The sequence below is a fragment of the Homo sapiens genome, chromosome 7 (genome assembly GCF_000001405.40).
Source record: "Homo sapiens chromosome 7, GRCh38.p14 Primary Assembly".
Classification (NCBI taxonomy): Eukaryota; Metazoa; Chordata; class Mammalia; order Primates; family Hominidae; genus Homo; species Homo sapiens.
This window is the reverse complement of record NC_000007.14, coordinates 131,025,532-131,043,622: the sequence shown is the minus strand read 5'-3', so window position 1 is coordinate 131,043,622 and position 18,091 is coordinate 131,025,532. Positions and strand designations below refer to the sequence as shown.

Below are 18,091 nucleotides of genomic sequence, written 5' to 3'. Positions count from 1 at the left end.
ATTTTTAGTAGAGATGGGGTTTCACCATGTCAGCCAGGCTCGTCTCGAACACCTGACCTCAAATGAGCTGCCCTCCTCGGCCTCCCAAAGTGCTGGGATTATAGGCGTGAGCCACCGTGCCTGGCCCTATCCTTCACCTTTTAGTTCTTTAGGAAGGAAATTGATGGTGGCTTAATACCTTTGCTTCTAGGCCTGGGTGTCCACCCACCTGACCCCAACTCCCATATATGTAGAGACATCAGGTAATCTGAGCATAAGATCCTTGCAGTGGTTGGGGAAGTGAAGCAGAGAGATGCCCTCTTGGAGCACTTCCATTTTCTGCACCAGACAGGAATCAGTTATCTCTGGGGTTAGTGACCTCACACCTTTGCCCCTGAATCCCCCCATATATAAAATAGAAGATTGAATTTTACTTACTTGGGTAAAAGTGGGCATTTTTCAGTTAGACATTTACCTAATTTTAATGAAAATACAATGACCCTAGAACATCCTGCCCATGATTCTGCCCAAGTTTATGCAAACAGAAAAAATTTATTTTGGAAAAAACCGGATCTTAAACTGAAATTCATTAAGCCATTTTTCCAAATAAAGTACCAGCTTAGTTAACCAAATTGTGCTTTTTCACTTTTTCCTTCCCTCAAAAGGAAATCCCTTATTCAACAAAAATTTGTGGAACACTCATATGTTTCAGGCACCCTGAAGATAAAGACACACCCACCTGCAAGGATAAAAGAAGCATGGCGGCGGGGTGGGGCTGGTATCCAGTCTGCTTCAAAACGGAGGAGGGGCATCCACAGAGAAGGGCTGGGGAAGGCCTTGCAGGAGGGCATGGAAGAGCCAGGTTGAGAGGGATGAATAGGACTTGGCTGTTATCCAGGTTGCAAGATGTTGGAAGGACTTTATCTAAAGCTGTGGCATTGGGATTAAAGAAGAGAGGTTGAGTCAAGAGATTCAGTGACTGGGAGTTATATGCCCTTTTGACTGGCAGGATAGGGAGAATATTGGAGAAAAAGGAGTCAAGGATTAGTTCAGCTTCTGCCGTGGCCTTCTCAGCAAGTGGTGGGGAATTCACTGAGGTGAGGAATACAAAATACTTGGAGGTTGCATCTGTTTGTTTTGCTTATTGAGTTAGGAAACCAGGAATTCACTTTGGAGGTTTGATCAGGGGAATGCAGCCTACGTTTGATTGGGCTTTAAAGCTGATCCTCTTTGCTCCATGGCCCAGCTCTGGGGGGGGACACACGTGGCACATCAGGCAGAAAGGGGCAGCTAGGGAGGTCTTGGCCAACTGTGGTTGGGCAGCATCATGGGCTGTAGTCTCACTTGTACAGGTGGAATCACTGTGGGACACTTCGGGGCATTTCCAGAGTGGAAAAATTCTTGCAGGTGAAAACCTGTCACATTGAAGAATTCAGTAGTGCTTTTGATAATTATTTTTTCTACTTGCTGTCTTGCCTTCTTCCCTCTGTATTTTTACCATTTATGGGAGTACATCTTTATATTTCTCTGGTAAAAGGAAGATGAAAAAGGTGAACTTTATAAAAGACTAACCAGTCCTTGACTTGTATAGCTCATTTAACTTTTAAAACCTGTAAAGGAGGTACTTTTCATCATATAAATTCATGATGAAGATAAATAAAATAGGTGTTTGGGAATCAGCAGGTTTTGAAATTTTATGACATGCCATTAACACAAAGCATAAATTCTTTTTCTTTTTCTTTTTTTTTTTTGAGACTGAGTCTCAGTTTGTCGTCCAGGCTGGAGTGCAGTGGCACGATCAAGGCTCACTGCAACCTCCGCCTCCTGGGTTCAAGCGATTCTCCTGCCTTAGCCTCCTGAGTAGCTGGGATTACAGGCATGCGCCACCACACTCGGCTAATTTTGGTATTTTTAGTAGAGACGGGGTTTCACATGTTGACCAGGCTGGTGTCGAACTCCTGACCTCAGGTGATCCACCCACCTTGGCCTCCCTAAGTGCTGGGATTACAGGAATGAGCCACCGCACCCGGCCGCATAAATTCTTTTATTCAGATCCATTGACATTAACATGTAAATAAGGATGACAGTTTATTATTTTGGAAATTCTAATTATTTGTCTTGTCCTTCAAAGAAGCGCTTTTGGTTACAAGTGGGTCCATAACACACAAAATAAAATTCTGTTTACGGCTGGGCGCGGTGGCTTACGCCTGTAATCCCAGCATTTTGAGAGGCCAAGGCGGGGGGATCACCTGAGGTCAGGAGTTCTAGACCAGCCTGGCCAATGTGGTGAAACCCTGTCTCTACTAAAAACACAAAAATTAGGTGGGTATGGTGGTGTGCGCCTGTAATGTCAGCTACTCGGGAGGCTGAGGCAGGAGAATAGCCTGAACCTGGGAGGCGGAGGTTGTAGTGAGCCGAGATTGCACCATTGCACTCGAGCCTGGGCAACAGAGCAAGATTCTGTTTCAAAAAAAAAAAAAACAAAAAAACCCACAAAATTACATACTTTTTGATAATATTGAAAAATAAGTATGGAAAATGATTCTTCTTAGGAAAATTTATGCCCATTATTCACTTCGCTGTTTTGTTAATGATCACGAATATATTAAACTGAAAATACAAGCTAAGCAGCTGCTTTGAAACTACATCAAAACAGTAGAAGTTTAAAATTAGATTCTTCTTATTGCATTAAATGCATCTTTCAGTAATATGTGGTCACTACACTACCTGCTTTACAGGTATTCTTGGAAATTTGGTAACAAAAAGAACAGGGTGAATAGATGTTGTAGATCATGAGGTATGGTGCAAAGTGCATGGCCTTGGGATAGGGATATCAGACATCTGAGCTGAATCTCAGTTCTCTGGTTGTTATGCCTCGAGGAAGTAAGTTGCTGGACCTCAGTTGTGCTGTTTCCTGGTCTATAAAATGAAGACAATAAAGAACCTGCTTCAGTGCGCTAAAACTCAAAGGACTTCTTGGGCTTGAGCGCTGGAGTAAACAGGCAGTTTCCCTTTGTACCACAAGAGGGAGTGCCTGTATAGATGTTAACCTGAGCTGAGGTTTGGATTTCTTTCTAAAATGTCGCTGAAAATTTAGGAATAACTGGATTACTGGGAAAACGTTAAAGAAAAAGATTTTTTGACAGTGTCAGGAGAAAGAGGAACTCGAAACACATAATGGGTTAAGAGGAAGGGATTACGTATAAAATTCCTTTAAGGTATGAAAAGCTTTGTTGACAGAGTGTTACATATTTCATTCCCAGTCAACAATCTTTTATTGTCAATGTCTGACCATGTTGATATATTTGTTTTGTTTTTCTCCTCCTTTGTAACTGTATTATAAATTTTTTATATTAAACAAATATAGAACTTAAAATTTAGTTTCTTAGTAGTAGTCCTGAATAATTAACATCAGTTGAAATTGGATTGTTTGTGCTCAGTGCCTTGGATATGTACAAAACCTGTTTGCTTCAAATTAGTGAGTTAGAAAATATTTTAATCTTTTCATCCTGCTCCCCTCCCACATACTTTTTTTTCCCCTTTTATTTTGAGCTTCTAGATCCTTTTATGTGATGTGTTGCTGTCATACATAGCTCACATTGGGTGGGAACAGAGAAGAACATTGTTTCCGTGGCCCAACCCTAGGGACATGGAACTCATTTTATTATACAGTGAAATTTTAAAATTTGAAACCAAGATCAGATCTCAACAAACAGAGCGAAATTGGCAATTGTGGAATTATCTAACAAATTTAGGGAAAAATCCAGTTGTATCTCAGTTATGTGAATGTGTCCTTCGATTTACAATTTTCAGGTAATCTCTTTATTTTGCTGGTATTTTTATTATACATAGAGCACATTGTTTTATAGAACTGTAATTATACCATAATACTTTTTGTATTGGGAAATGTTGAGAATTTAGAAAGAACAATCCTAGGCATTTCCTTTTGCTCTGTATTCTTCTGTTTAGAAGTTTTCCCTGTGGTTTGTTCCTGGCAATTAAACACTGTTCAAATTCAGAGTCAGACTGCCCTGGCTCAAATCTTGGCCCCACGATGTGTGAAACTTGACAAAGTCAAAGTTATCACTATAATTTCGGTCACTTGAAATCCAGTAATTTCTTGAGCAGAAGAAAGGGAAGTGGAATTACTGTAGAAATTATGCATAGTTTTATATTATCTGTGTAGTAGCCTGTTTAAAGTGATCATTGCTAGTGCATGGTATAGAATTACAAACTTGTAAATACTTCTCAAGATTGCCACTTTAAAAAAAAAAGCAAAAAGAGCTCTGTAGCCCTATTTTTTTTTTTATTTCCAACAGGAAATTTGTTCTTGTTTCAAAATGTGGGAACACCCATTATTCTCTGTTGGCCACATGAATGTCATCCATTTGTTTATTGCAGCAGAAAAAAAGTGAAGAATGGTTGATACAGTGGCAAGCTGTTCCTTTTAGGTTACTTTAAAAAGTCATGGAATTTCGGATATACAAAGAAAGCATAAGGAATACTCTAACCAGTATATATGTATACAGTATCCAGTATAAGAATGAAAATGTAATGTAGTTATTAAAACATTATGTGTGTGCTTCCACAAGCCTGTCCTCCTTTCTACCTTCCAGAAGTAACTTCTCTCTTGAATTTGGTGTTCGTCATTCTGGTGCATGCTTTTACAGTTTTACAAAATACACACGCATTCCCAAACATAAATAATACTGTTTCACAACATAAATTGTATTATGGTACATGTTTTAAAACACGATATACATTGTATCTGTTGCAAGTCAGGTTCCAAGGGAAATGGAACTCAGAAGATTAAGGCTGGGGGCCACCAGTGCCTCATGCCTGTAATCAGCACTGTGGGAGGCCGAGGCGGGCAGATCACTTGAGGTCAGGAGTTTCAGACCAGCATGGCCAACATAGTGGAACCTCATCTCTACTGAAATACAAAAAATTAGCCAGGTGTGGTGGTGTGCACCTGTAATCCCAGCTACTCAGGAGGCTGAGGCAGAAGAATCACTTGAACCTGGGAGGTGGAGGATGCAGTGAGCCGAGATCAAGCCACTGCACTCCAGGCTGGGTGACAAAGCAAAACTCCGTATCCAAAAAGAAAAGAAAAGAAAAGAAGATTAACATGTAGGAAGTTTGTTAAGGAGATTTTAGGATTCACACTTGTGGAATAGGAGGAAGCACAATTGGGCCAAGGGAGAAATTGGGCTGTGGTGTCCGATCACAAGATAGGCCTCAGCTGATCCCAAAGGGGATGCTGAAGGTGGGGTAGCCCTTGAGGATGGTACCACGTTGGGGTGAGGGGCCAGGCCTTGGTAGCTTCACATTGACCAGTTATGGGAAGAAGGCTACCCCTGAAGAAGGGATGAGACCTTGGTGAGGTGACTCTTTCAACTGAGGGCTGTTAACTTGCAACACCCCTAGAAACTGGGGGATAAGCTCTTCAGTCCTAAAGAGAGACCTGAGCAGCCACCTCAGTATTCACTACAGTCTATATTGTGTACATTGTCTGAGCCTGCCCTTTTTGCTGTATATTATGTTTTTGGAGTTTACTTATATTAATATCTGTAGCTCTAGTTCATTTATTTTAATTGTTTTATGGTATTCAGTTCTTCAAAATATGTCACAATTTTAAAATATATTTTCCTATTGAGAGACTTTTAAGTTTTTACAATTTTTCACTATTAAAAAATGTTGCTATATGAATTCATTTATATTTCTCCTTAGTGCACACACCAGAGTTCATCTGGGGTATACAACCAAAAAATTACCAGGTCTTAGGGTATGCACAATTTCAAACTTAATAACTAGAATGAAATTGCTCTCTGGAGTGGTTGTATCTCACCCCGTGTCCTCATAAACACTTGGTATTGTCAAGTCCTAATTCTACCAATTTGATGGGTGTGAAATAGTATCTCATTATAGTTTTATTAGAGTTTGGTTGATAACTAGTGAGTAATATCTCATTGTAGTTTTATTAGAATTTGGTTGATAACTAGGAAGATTGAGAATTTATGTGTTTATTTAGCTATTTGGGTTTCTTCTGTGAAGGACATTTTCTAATCATGTGATTTTTCTGTTGATTTCTTTTAGTGATTTGTAGGCAGTCTTTATATATTCTGCATATCAATTCTTTGTGGTCTATATGAGTAAAAATATCTTCTGGTTCGGGGCTTGATTGTTAACTTTTTAAATAATGCCATTTGTTGAATAAGAGTTTTCTTTTAATGTCATCCTTCCTTTGGGCATTGTTTCTGGGTATATTATTTTAGAAATTCTCCCTTAGGCTGAGGTCATATAAAATATCCTCTGTTTACGATTAAAAGTTTTAAAGTTTTGCTTTTCACAATTTCACCTGCTGTCCCTCTAAAATAGTTTTGTGTATAGCATGAGGTATAGTTGCCTAATTTTGTTTTTCTCATGGATGACCTGTTGTCTTAGCACCATTTAATTGCCTTTGCAACCCTTCTCCACCAATGCACAGTGCCATTCTGTCCTACAAACTTCTGTCTATGTAGATCTATGTCTTTTTGTAGGGGCGGGGGGGGGGGCGGCTATTTAGTTCCACTGGTGTATTTCTTTTTTCTTGCCCCATTTTCTTGCTTTTTTTTTTTTTTTTTTTTTTTTTTTTCTGAGATGAATTCTCACGCTGTCACATAGGCTGGAGTGCAGTGGCACAATCTCATCTCACTGCAACCTCCACCTCCCAGGTTCAAGCGATTCTTAGGCCTCAGCCTCCTGAGTAGCTTGGATTACAGAAGTGTGCACCACGTCTGGCTGATTTTTTTGTATTTTTAGTAGAGATGGGGTTTCACCATGTTGACCAGGCTGGTCTCGAACTCCTGACCCCAAGTGATCTGCCCGCACTGGCCTCCCAAAATGCTGGGATTACAGGCATGAGCCACCATCATGCTTTTAAAATAGGTCTTTATTTCTTTATTGTGTCTTAGTGTCTGGTAGTTTGTCTCCTCTTCTTGTTCTTCTTTAAAATCATCGCTACTCTTTGTGTTTTGCTTTTCCATATACATTTTAGAGTTCTGCTCCATGAAAAACCCTCCTTTGATTGAGGTCATGCATTAACTATATAGATTAGTTTGAAGAGTAATGATATTCTTATGGGATAGATATTTCCTGTGTATGTCTTCTTTAATATCTATATTTAGGTCTTTTTACTGTATACATCATTTTTATAACTTTTTAAATGTTAATAAAGATATTTCTTGGCCGGGCGCGGTGGCTCACGCCTGTAATCCCAGCACTTTGGGAGGCCGAGGCGGGCGGATCACGAGGTCAGGAGATCGAGACCATCCCGGCTAAAACGGTGAAACCCCGTCTCTACTAAAAATACAAAAAAAAAAATTAGCCGGGCGTAGTGGCGGGCGCCTGTAGTCCCAGCTACTTGGGAGGCTGAGGCAGGAGAATGGCGTGAACCCGGGAGGCGGAACTTGCAGTGAGCCGAGATCCCGCCACTGCACTCCAGCCTGGGCGACAGAGCGAGACTCCGTCTCAAAAAAAAAAAAAAAAAAAAAAAAAAAAAAAAAAAAAAAAAGATATTTCTTCATCAACAATTTAATGACTACATGACCATCCATTATTTAGCTAGTCAGTAGTTTACACCCTGTTAACATTTAAATTAACATATTTCACAATGATTGTTTCGAACTCACATATTTCCCATCATGAAATTATATGTAAATATTCACCTGTTTTATTCTAGTAGTGCTAGGAGTTGTATATAATTAAGTATTTGAGATGTATTTGAGTGTAAAATGTGAGAAAAATATCTTTTTCCCCACACAGATAGCCAGTTATTGAATACTTCATCCTTTGGTCTGACGTTGACTTTTTGGTTTTGCCATCAAGTAACCATCCACAGTGCCCGTACATAGCAGGCACTCAATAAATGTTTGAATAAATGAATTTGAGTATTTATTTTGTTTTCAGATGTTTTCTTATTTTCCGTGGACACGTCTGTCTATTCTAGTTCTACTGCCATGCTGTTTTAATTATCAGAGCTGTATAATAAATGTTTGTATGTGGTTGAACATCATTATTGTTATTGTTTTTTCGGAATTTTTCTGGGCTACTTCTGCATCACTTTTCTCTCGGATAAATGAAAATAATTTGGTCAACTTTCTTGTAAAACTATGATAATTTTGACTGATACTGTATTAATTTATTTTCCTTCCTTCCTTCCTTCCTTCCTTCCTTCCTTCCTTCCTTCCTTCCTTCCTTCTTTTCTTTCTTTTCCTTCTTTTCCTTTTTCTTCTTCTTCTTCTTTTCCTTCCTTCCTTCCTTGCTTCCTTCCTTCCTTCCTTCCTTCCTTCCTTCCTTCTTTTCCTTCTTTTCCTTCGAGATGGAGTCTTGCTCTGTCACCCACACTGGAGTGCAGCAGCCTGATCTTGGCTCACCACAACCTCTGCCTCCCGGGTCCAAGCCATTCTCCTGCCTACCCAGTAGCTAGGATTACAGGCACCCAGTACCACGCCTGGCTAATTTTTTATTTTTAGTAGAGATGGGGTTTTACCATGTTGGCCAGGCTGGTCTTGAACTTCTGACCTCAAGTGATCCACCTGCCTCCGCCTCCCAAAGTGTTTGGGATTACAGGCTTGAGCCACCATGCCTGGCCTACACTGTGTTAATTTTCTTAAAAAAACAAAAAAACAAAAAACAAAAAAACCTTAAAGGCATTTATATTTTAATTTTCTGGCCTAATGAGTGCTACATATTCATCTAGTTCATAAATTCTGGAACTTTTTGGTTAGAGCAGATAAATCCCCCAGATCTCTTTTTGGATTAAAATTCAATGTAATTAAAGAAATCCACTGCAGCAAACGCAATCCTGCCACGTGTTTATTCTGTAAGGATAAAATGTTTTTCTATATTGAACAGCACTGCACAGGCCTTGCTGCCTCCCCCTTATGAAACAGGACTCTCATGGTGCCACGTGTTCCCTGGCTGGACAGATTCCTGAAAATAGATACTAACTGCTGCTTGGTTGAAGAAATCTTTTTTGTGTGTGAGCTACTTTCTCCCGCAGATATTTAAAGGAATTCTATATCCCCACTTCTCTGACTTACCTTTTTTTTGTGGCGAGGAAACAGGACACAGAGCCTGCTGGGTATGCAAGAGAAGTCTGTATAACTGTTTCACACCTGCCTGGATGCTGGCAGTGGTATTTGCCAAGTGAAGTCTGAAGGCTGGTTTGTCATGTGTTTTCACAGAGCACTGATGGCTCCCAGCCAACCTGTTTAGGCCTTGTCTTTTTTTTCTTGCATAAAATTGCCTATTTTTCACTTCAGATGGGGGTGTTAGGCACTTCAGAGATGTTTGTTCTTGTCGCATGCATGCCATCTGTGGTCTGCTGGCATCGGAGACAGGTTCCCAAATTGGCCAGTGTGTCTGTTGGTCAGCAAGCGGGGTGACCAGGACCCACGCCTGTGCTTGCCCCTGTGGCTGCAGCCAAGGCTGAGGTGCACACCTGAAGGACCACACCTCAGTGCTGTTGGCCTAGTTTTTAAAAATTTAAATAAACTCTTTATTTTGGAATAATTATACATTTGAAGACAAGTTCAAAGATAGTACAGAGTTTCCATATGCCCCTCACTCAGTGATTCCTGTTGCTGACTCTTACATTATTATGTTACATTTGTCACAATTAAGGAAGAAACATTGGTACTTTACTGTTAACTAAAATCCACATTTTATTCAGAGCTCACCCGTTTTTCCGAATGTCCTTTTTCCGTTCTGCACTCAGGATATCACAGCACATTTAGCCACCATGTCTCCTTAAAGTCCTCCAGTCTATGATCGTTTCTGAGATGTTTGTTTTTGATAGCCTCGTCAGTTTTGAGGAATACTGGGCAGGTATTTTGCAGAATGTGCCTTAGTTTGGATTTTTTTCATGTTTTTCTGATTATTAGACTGGGATGTGGGTTTTTGGGAGGACAATCACAGAGGTGAAGGGATATCCTTATCACATCCGTGTGAAAAGAGAACGCCATCAACGTGACTTACCACTGCTGATGCTCACCTTGACCATGGAAATTTGTTTCCCCTTTCCAATACTCTGCTCTGTGGAAGCAAGTCACCAAGCACTGCATAGTCCCAAGTTAAAAGTTTTGTTACTTGTCTTATCTGTTGGTACCCAGTTATATTTGAAGCCATACCTAATATTTTTTGACGCTGAATATAGAGTTTGTGTTTAGAGCCTTAAGAATGAATAAAAATTTATTCTAAACTTAAGAAGTATTGGAAGTAGTTAGTAGCTATGTTGAATCTTTCTTCCACTCCTCATACATTTGGTTTATTGTTGTTTTTTTTTTTTTTTGAGATAGAGTCTCTCTGTCACCCAGGCTGGAGTGCAGTGGCATGATCTCAGCCCACTGCAACCTCCGCCTCCCGGGTTCAAGCCATTCTCCTGCCTCAGCCTCCCAAGTAGCTGGGATTACAAGTGTGTGCCACCACGCCTGGCTAATTTTTGTAATTTTAGTAGAGATGGGGTTGCACCATGTTGGCCAGGCTGGTCTCAAACTGCTGACCTCAAGTGATCTGCCCGCCTCAGCTTCCCAGAGTGCTGGGAATACAGGCGTTAGCTACCGCACCCTGCCTGGTTTTACTTTTAAAATCTTCATGCTCTGTAAAATACATCATCCTTCTACTGCATCAGCTACTCCGTTCTGCTCATTCGCCTACACAGATTGTACTTCCTTCTTCTGGCATAAGAATGCCTCCTTTTTCTTCTACTGCCAGGGAATAAAGTTTAGTATATGAATGTTTTATCCACACTGCAGCTTACCTAATAAATACCAAAATATGTTTATTCTGATAAATCTGATGTTTTTATGTATAAATTAAACATTTATGACTTTGAATGCTCTCTGACATCATGAATAGTTGGTTGGTTGGTTGTTTTTTTGAGATGGTGTCTCGCTCTGTCACCCAGGCTGGAATGCAATGGCATGATTTCGGCTCACTGCAACCTCTGCCTCCTGGGTTCAAGCAATTCTCCTGCCTCAGCCCCCTGAGTAGCTGGGACTACAGGCACGTGCCACCATGCCTGGCTAATTTTTGTATTTTTAGTAGAGATGGGGTTTCAGCATATTGGCCAGACTGGTCTCAAAATCCTGACCTTGTGATCCATCCTCCTTGGCCTCCCAAAGTGCTGGGATTACAGGTGTGAACCACCACGCCCGGCCCCTAACATCATGAGTAGTTTGATCTTCCACACACTTCTGCTTGTAGAGTAGTTGAACCTCAGGAGTTCAGATTTCAGATAGCTTGTTGTTTTCATGTTTGTGAGGGTGAAATTCTTAATGAATTTGATCATTTTTGTCTGATTTTCCTTTCCACTCAGATAACTTTCTTTACATTTTCACTTCAAATCCATTTGCTAAAATATGGATTAAAGAAGAATATGTTACTGTTTTAGATATAATAGGAATGTTCTTGAAGAGATGTATATAAATGTTGTATTTGTTCATTGAATCATCATGTCACATGTTTTAGGAAACTTACTGTTTCAAAAAACCTTGTGATACATTTTGTGATGATTTATATGACCAATTTTCAAACCCACATTTGCAGACATTTTATTTCATCCTCAGTTGCAGGCATTCCATTAAGGTGGACTGATTAAAGTGTCTTTTCAGAACATTAGAACTTCGTGTTTCCTCTTCATGGGGTTACTGTCAACTTATTTAAGAAGAACAGTAGAACTTCGTGTTCCCTCTTCTTGGTGTTACTGTTAACTTATTTTAAAAAGTTTGAGTATGTTACAGTATTTTGTCTTTAAGCCAGTCTTGGGATCTAGCACCAAGGGAAAAAGTTCAAAAAATGCATTTTAACAAGTCTTCTCACTTCATGGTCACTTGGTATGACGACTCAAAACAAGAATAATGTTCTTAATCAACCACAGGGGAAATCCTTTCTTCGGCCCTTCAATTCTACTTTTAGTCAGTCAAACAATTCTTAATTTCATGCGGGGGATTCCCACACGTTCTGTAAGTTTCTTTTAAAGTTTTCAGATATGTGTAGAATGTAGGATATGATTGCATTCGTCTCATATCTCAGTGGTGTGAGGTCTGTTGAGTGTGCCGCTACTTTGTTTTAATATTACTCATTCTTTTTTCTAAGTATGGATGTATAAGAATGAGCATGATAAAATGAAATCTAAAAATTAATTGATTTGTTCTCAGGTTAAAGGCCTATTAAATATAAGATCTTTGGATATATTCTGAGTCTTTTTATTTTTTATGCAGCAAGTAAAGAAAATTTTACAGAGCTTTGGACACAAGGCTCCTCCTTACCTGCCTTTTACTGAACTCACCATGTCTTCCCTGGTTAGCTGTAGGCTCTCCCGTGCTCCAGGCTCAGCAGTCAGGGTGTATTTTTATTGCTCAGATCTGACAAGTATGCTTCCTGCAGTTACTGTTGAGGCCAGTTTCTAAGGCTTTGAAATGACCTTCAAAAAGATGATAAATGTTGAGTCCCTTTTGGAAAAATATACTGAGATAAAGAACTGTGATAAATCAAATTATAAGGTAGATCATCTTGTAATTAGCACACTATAGGAAAGTTAGTTATGCCAGGCGTGGTGGCTCACGCCTATAATCCCAGCACTTTGGGAGGCCGAGGTGGGCGGATCACTTGAGAGGTCAGGAGTTCGAGACCAGCCTGACCAACATGGAGAAACCCCATCTCTACTAAAAATACAAAAAAAAATTAGCCAGGTGTGGTGGCACGTGCCTGTAATCCCAGCTACTTGGGAGGCTGAGGCAGGAGAATCTCTTGAACCCGGGAGGCGGAGGTTGCGGTGAGCTGAGATTGCGCCACTGCACTCCAGCCTGGGCAACAAGAGCAAAACTCAGTCTCAAAAAAAAAAAAAAAAAAAAAAGGAAGTTAGTTAAAGAACATCTGTGGGGACCACCTATGTTGTTCTGGGACTTTCTAGTGTTAGTGTAGGAGAATATCATGGTTTCTGTGGGGACAGGGGGTTCCCATTTCAGTGTGTTCCATCACCCTCCTCTATCCCTCTAAGAACATGGGAAAAGCCTCAGTGGTAGACAGGAACCTGCCATCAGTCCTTCCACTCTGAAGCACCCTTGCAGATGTACCAGATGGAAGTTGTCTTAAATGAGAAGAAAACTACTAAGTCCCTGGGCATTCCCTTTGTCCTCCAGCACCAGGTCCAGTCCTCAGGGAAAGTTTGTTCTTATTGAGAGTATTCCCAGAGATCTGAAAGGCCAGGGGGAAATTGCAGTGGAACAGACTGTCTTTCTCTTAAGGCATTTAAAAGTCATCCAGGGCTGGTTGAGGTAGCTCCCATCTGTAATCCCAGCACATTGAGAGACTGAGGCAGAAAGATCACTTGAGCTCAGGAGTTTGAGACCAGCCTAGGCAACAGATTGAAACACTGCCTCTATGACAAAAGAAATTGGCTGAGTGTGGTGGTGCACACCTGTAGTCCCAGCTACTTAGGAGGCCGAGGCAAGAGAATTGCTTGAGCCTCAGAGGTCAACAGAGCAAGATTCTTGTCTCAAAAAAATAAAAATAAAAAATAAAAGTCCTCCCACTCTCATGCAAAAGCCAACAAACCACAATAATAAAAAAGAATTTTTCCTGAATATTCCTGGTTCACTCTCAGGCCCTGACATCCCCGGAACTTACCTAACATGATATTTTCATAAAACAACTAAATTTTTATGTTCTTGTGCCAAGAAGATTCAGATCTATAAGGCTGCTTTAAAGGTGTTATCTGTCTTTTCATTTTGCTTCGCCTCTAAAAGATTTCTGTATTTTTCCTCTGGTTTAAACATTTTAGGAAATTTTATATTTAAACATTTCTTCCTCTCAGACGGGCGGGCTTGTCCATGCTTTTCAGCGGGTTGAGTCACTCCAGGACTACCCGCTCTGCGCCAGGTCCTCAGGAGAGTGCTGCCGGGGCTGCCTGGCAGACTAGTTCCACCTCGGTCCGCAGGGAGGCTGCATTTTAGGGTTGGTTACTAGACTGCACAGTGATGACCCCTTTCAGTACATTTTCCCCAGCTTTGTCTCCCTCCTTAACACTAAGATGTAGAAACAACAGCCTTAACATCAGGTTATCCCATCTGATTTTTGGCTTGGTGCAAACACAGAGCACCTAAAGGTGAATTACACAAGGAAATGGAACACCTTCGCCTGGAAGGTTGACTCCTGCACTTGGCTGTTGGCATTTCATGCATTCAACAAACATTTAGGATGTGCTCATTTTGAGCCAGGCTCTGTGATAGGGTGGGGAATACAGAAATAAAAAGGCCCTGTGCTGTCCTCAGTGAGCTTCCACTCTGGTGAGATAAATGCAGTGCAGTACAGTAACAGCTCTGATACTGAAGCATCTGGAAGGACTTGGGTCCAGCCTCTTGGCAAGTTCTCCTGGAGGAACTAACATTTGACCTATGATTGACATGGACTTTGGAGATGAATAGAGGTTAACCAGAGAAGATGGGAGTTGCCATTGGGGGGTTGGGGCAGAGAGTGAGGGAAAGTGTCAGCCCTGGTGGGTGCTACCTGGAGGAGGTTGCTGAGTATTGGAAGGCCCAAGGAGGCCAGAGACCAAAAAGTGTCCTGGGGACTGCAGGGTAAAAGGACCTGCTTTAGGTTAGGTAGCATTTGTTAAAACTTTTCGGACAGTTTAATTTTGAGCATGTGCCAACAGTTTGTTTTAGCTTTGCAATGCAAGGAGAGAGTCCTGCAGTAGGCACATTCAATGATTCGCTCTTGGTAGGGACATTAAGGGAAGAAAGTGATTAAATATCATCATTGAAACGAATGTCTGGTTAAAAACCTCTACACTCTGATAGTTGACAGTCAGCCGGGTAGATGGTAATGAGTTGCCCAGAGCAAGTCTTAATTTCCTTAAAGTTCATTTAGGAAATTGCATTAGAAAAAAAGCAAGCTTTTTTTTTTTTTTTTCCCTGGAATGCTGTTCATTTCTTCCTAGTAGGATACTGTGAATTTTCTAGCAGACCACTTGGTTCTATTCCAGACCAGGTACGGAACAGTTTTTCTTTGACAATTTTGAGATTACAGTGGAATGCAATCAAGTTTTTCAAGGACCTACCTGGTGAAGAGCTTTCTAAACTAAGCTGAGAGGAACTTGGGTTTTCATCCTGAGGGCAGTGTGGAAGCCAGGGAGGGAATTCATTTAAGTGGAGGAAAATCTCGACCATCCTTGTAGGGAGTGGATTAGCTGCAGTGTGAGGTTGGAGCAGTGGGAATAGTAGTTGGCAGAAAAGTTTAGTTATCCTGGGGAGAAATGATGAGGGCTTTGAGTTTTTTTGTTTTTTGTTTTTTGTCTTTTTTTTGAGATGGAGTCTTGCTCTGTTGCCTAGGCTTGATTGAGTGCAGTGGCACAATCTCGGCTCACTGCAACCTCCGCCTCCTGGGTTCAAGCAATTCTCCTGCCTCAGCCTCCCAAATAGCTGGGATTACAGGCGCATCCCACCATGCCCAGCTAATTTTTGTATTTTTAGTAGAGACAGTATTTCACCATGTTAGCCAGGCTGGTCTCAAAGTCCTGACCTCAAGTGATCCACCTGCCTTGGCCTCTCAAAGTGCTGGGAATACAGGCAAGAGCCACACCGTGCCCAGCCTGAGAGCCTTGAGTTCTGATCTGTCTTTTCCTCTCCTACTCAAACTCCTCTACCCCGAGGCAGAAGCATAGCTGGGGGGATGGAGGTGGAAATTGGTTGTTGCTTTTCCTCCAGAAGAGTTGGTTCAAAATTTTTAAATTTAAAGTAAATGATGGTAAGATCATGATGCAAGGATGTTAGAGGAAGCAGCCAGACTTTGAGATCAGGGCTGAGAGAAAGTAGTCAAAGGCCTTCTGCTGAGTGTACTCTGCCTCCAGCCACTGAGCCCACTTGCCCCATCTCTGTCTTTCCCGGGCCTGCTCACGTCTCTAGCCTCAGGCACTGCTTCAGAACCACAGTACCATCTGGCCTGGGTGTTCTGGCTGTTCTCAGTATTTCTGCTCTCATTTGCTGGAATTATGCAACACTCGGTCCTTCCTCCGAGGGCCGCCAGATGAGCCTACTTCAGTGCATCTGCTGTGGTTAAAACAGAATCTTCTGAGATGCGTTTATGCTAAGTTGCATACATATTTGTGTATGGTGATCAGCCCTGTTTACTTGGCATACAGCAAAATAGATCTATGTTTTCTTGCCACTGTTCAGTGATGATGTCATGTCATTCTGGGCAGAGGTAGAGCCAGATTGTAAGAAAGGACAGGGAACCAGAGCTGGGGGCGGAGCTGGGGGCGGAGCTAGGGGTGATTTCTGCAGTGATTGGGGGGTTGCACCCCCTCTGACATTATTTTGCTTTGGTGTCTCCATGGTCTGCTTTCCCAGGTTCTTCTCTATTGTCTTTCATTATAATGTTTAATCACTACCATGTTAACATACTGCCATAAAATAACACTCCACAATTACCTGGTAACAGATAGTATGGGTATATTTGAAGACATGCATTTCTCTTCTGAATTTGCTGTGAGTAGGGACTTGGCCTTTTTAACTTTTATTTCCCTAAGAAACCTGTATTCAGAATAAATAATTATTCACCTCTTATGTTTTTTTTCGCATGTCATCCAGGTTGCAAAAATATCTGGCTTTAATAATTCCGGAGGACTTAGTTTTTGGGGAGCAAAGGTAGTGAGTCAAACCTGCAAGCTTAGAAAGGAGAATTCATTTGAGTTTCATCATTCGGTCTGGAGGTTTCCTAGGCAACCACTTATGTAGTAATTAAAAGATGAGGAACTAAAAAGGTATGTGCTCGGCAATTTTAATCCTCAAATGCAATCCTTGTCAGATTGAGATCACAGAAACAACAACTTAAAATAAGTAAATTAAAAAGGCCAACATTTAATTAAAGGACACACACTGTTATTAAGGGGGGTGTGTGTGTGCGTGTGTGTGTGTATGTGTGTGTGTTGCTTTATCTTTTTAATGCTCTGTCTTGGAAGGGAATGTTCATATATATATGTATATATTTTATACTCACCTATTTGGGAAAGCAGAAGTGAGGTTATCGCTTCAAGTGACTGCTTTAGCAGTGAGGTTGGTTATTATTGGTTCACGTGTTTGTATCTGAATGTGTTACCATCAGTAGAATCTCCAGCATGTGGAGAAGAGAGCTTATTAGTCATGTTTCTTTTTTCAGTGTTCATGGGGGAGTTTATCCAGATGTTTTACTTGTTTCAGTCTACCTTAGATTGTGCTGAAATGTCCTCTTCTGTGGCTCAGGAGAAAGCGTAGAAAGGCCATTCATGAATAGAAATGAGAGACCCTTTTAGCAAGTAGAAACAACCTCAGTTTGCTAAAGGTTTTCCTCTTAACTCTTCACACTCACCCTTTTTATATAGGTTTCTACTCAGGTGACCTGAAGGATATGAGAAACATTTTTCTTCCTCTGTGAAACACTACCACTCCCAGACTTTAACACAGACTTTTCATTAAATTCCATTTTAACATTTTAATGAAAAAGGTGGCTTTTTTTTTTTCATGTGCCAGTGAAAGAGGAAAGTTCTGCTAGTTATGTGAGACTCACTTTCTTTTTTTTTGAGATGGAGATTCGCTCTTATTGCCCAGGCTGGAGTGCAGTGGCGCCATCTCAGCTCGCTGCAACCTCTGCTTCCTGGGTTCAAGCGATTCTCCTTCCTAAGCCTCCCGAGTAGCTGGGATTATAGGCACGCGTCACCACGCCCGGCTAATTTTGTACTTTTAGTAGAGACAGGGTTTCTCCACGTTAGTCAGGCTGGTCTCGAACTCCTGAACTCAGGTGATCCGCCCGCCTTGGCCTCCCAAAGTGCTGGGATTACAGGCGTGAGCCACCATGCCCAGCCCTCATTTTCAACAGTTTTAGAAATAATTACTATCTGAAAAGAACCAGAATGACAGAATCTTAGCACTGGTAGTTTTACATAGGGTGGTGTTATGGTCCTAGATAGGTGTCCTGTAGAAATGTTAAACACGGGTGAGATGTGGGAAGTGGCTGTTTTCTACTGGAGATGGAGAGGAGCCACCTCCCCACGCTGAGCATCTGTGGGCATCATGAACATTTGGAACTTAAGCCA

At 41.2% G+C, this 18,091-nt stretch overlaps 1 long non-coding RNA gene across 10 annotated transcripts in view, besides 2 other annotated features; it reads left to right on the top strand.

The window, feature by feature from the left end:
- Positions 1–18,091, top strand: part of LINC-PINT (long intergenic non-protein coding RNA, p53 induced transcript) — a 232,364-nt gene that overhangs the window by 66,303 nt on the left and 147,970 nt on the right. The gene's annotated exons all lie outside the window — the stretch shown is intronic.
- Positions 11,796–12,085: an enhancer, noted in NCBI's record as "active region_26667". NCBI's record gives its function as "activates an Ori minimal core promoter by ATAC-STARR-seq in GM12878 lymphoblastoid cells {active_cell/tissue: GM12878}" and the evidence as "EXISTENCE:reporter gene assay evidence [ECO:0000049][PMID:35858748]".
- Positions 16,044–16,183: an enhancer, noted in NCBI's record as "active region_26666". NCBI's record gives its function as "activates an Ori minimal core promoter by ATAC-STARR-seq in GM12878 lymphoblastoid cells {active_cell/tissue: GM12878}" and the evidence as "EXISTENCE:reporter gene assay evidence [ECO:0000049][PMID:35858748]".